The sequence below is a fragment of the Homo sapiens genome, chromosome 4, assembly GCF_000001405.40.
Source record: "Homo sapiens chromosome 4, GRCh38.p14 Primary Assembly".
Classification (NCBI taxonomy): Eukaryota; Metazoa; Chordata; class Mammalia; order Primates; family Hominidae; genus Homo; species Homo sapiens.
This window is the reverse complement of record NC_000004.12, coordinates 133,528,394-133,530,521: the sequence shown is the minus strand read 5'-3', so window position 1 is coordinate 133,530,521 and position 2,128 is coordinate 133,528,394. Positions and strand designations below refer to the sequence as shown.

The 2,128-nt window shown below is 28.9% G+C and overlaps 1 annotated feature.

The window, feature by feature from the left end:
• Window positions 561-761: a silencer, noted in NCBI's record as "peak5118 fragment used in MPRA reporter construct". NCBI's record gives its function as "represses an SCP1 promoter by STARR-seq MPRAs in K562 erythroleukemia cells {active_cell/tissue: K562}" and the evidence as "EXISTENCE:reporter gene assay evidence [ECO:0000049][PMID:32103011]".

The following is a 2,128-nucleotide window of genomic DNA, read 5'->3' as shown; positions in this document are numbered from 1 at the left end:
GTGCACAACTATTTGAAACAAAAATATCTATTGGAATGCAGATGATTAAGCTGGCAGGAAAATACCTGCACGATTTTGAGTGTTTGTGTATTTTCAACTTTAATAATTATTAATACTATCTATTCCTAACTAAATAGTTAAGGAATCGCATCCTTAGAAAGTAGAAATTAAAACCAATAAATTGTTTTTAATTATCATAGAAATATTAAAAATACTTCCGTTTTGTTTAAAAATAGAACTCAACATTTATTCACCAATTTATTTGATAAGATTGATTAACCATAATATGACATCATTTAGATATAAATGTATGATACAGATATGTGACTCTGTGTGCATAAGGAGCAACAACTAGAAATATAAATGGAGTGCTTTTTCATAATAGTTTATGAAACAAAAACTACTTTAAATATATATTAATAAAACTGTGTTTCACTGTAATAAAAATGTGCTAAAAAATGGATGTAGCGCAGTTCACAAAGTAAGAACCATAACCCCTTCCTCTTTTCTTTTCAGTTCTGGTACAGCTAGTTTGAGGCTAGTCAGGATCAGCATATTCAAAGATAATAATACAGCAATAGAGCATGAGATTTGCATCTCCACTTTAGATTTCTCACTCTCAAAACTCTTTTTGCCTTATCATTGCAGCTACCAAAAGGCTTAGCAAATACAGCTGGAGTGGAATCTTTCACTTATTTCAAACTGAAAATTTGATTGTTCATGTCCATTTCCAGCAGCAAGCCATGTCTGCAGAAATGTGATAAATCCAACCAAAGAACAGGACAGACTTGGTGATGTATGCAAATAAAATATTAACCCACATCTGTAAGCGTTAATGTAGCAAATTCTATTATAGATATTATGTATATAACTTAATTTCATTTATGCTTGACATTGAATGGCCTCTTCAAACTGAAAAATATTGAATCTGCCTTTCAAGTAATATAGGTTCATTTAAACATGCCTAATATTATTATGCCATTGGCAAATTTACTTCTGTCATTTAGATCAAAGGCATATATTTTCTGCATTTCTATGCCTGCTTCTCAGAAATACCACTGTTCTTTCTTCCCATTAATGACTTAATGCCTTGTAATTCTTCAGAATATAGAAAATTGCATAACTAAATTGCATAAGTGATCTCATTTTTCCAAAAAACAATCTTTGTCTCCTTGTGCAATTACATTGTTATTTGTTTATCCATGCTGTGCTTTAATTCATTTAAATAATTTATTTTAAGAAAGCAGTGTATTACAGTGGGAAAGAATAATAACAATTGAGTAAAAAAAAAATCCAAGCTCGCCAGATGAAAATATATTTTTTTCTAATATAAAGAGAGAATTTTGATATCTGAATAAAGGAACTAAACACTGTAATAAAACATGTATTAGGATAAATGTATAGAAAATAAATATGTCATGACTGAATCTAGCAAATAATTCTACTATGAGCATATGCTAAATTTAAAAAAGGATCAAGACTTGATTCTGTTGGACTGTATATCAAAAATCAAATAAAAAAGAAAAAGAATAAAAGGGGAGGAAAGTGGTGAGGCAAATTGAACTCCTTCTAGAAAGGCAGTAGAGTCTAAAATCAAAACAAAATAAAATACAAAGTCCCATTTTAAATATCTTAATATTGAGGAATGTCTTCAAGCATAAAAGTCTCTATTGCTTCTTCTGCAATAAAAAACATATAGAATATTTTTTCTTTAAAAAGTTAGTATTTCTTTTTTGATAAGATTAATATAGTAGATCTCTATTTATTTGTAAAAGATTGATGTTTTGTGTTTTAGAAAAAAATGTATTTGGACTATGAGTAGAATTATTGGTTAAGTTATAACTGTTTATTTAGCTGGTGGTTACTGGACATCTTTTCCAGTCATTATTCTCATCCAGATCAGTTGCGATTTTTTAGTTTACTAAGGCTTTGCTGTGAGTCTATGTTCAATGATGCTATCACCACATATGTTGTATTACAATTACTCTTTATACATACTGTGAAAAATAGAAACAGTATACAAGGAAACATTTCCTTTTATTAATCCCTTATAGATATTATTGCTGAAGCTGTCTATTGATGTGGCAGTTTTATTAGTTAGAAAATTGTAAGAGTACATCCCTATAAA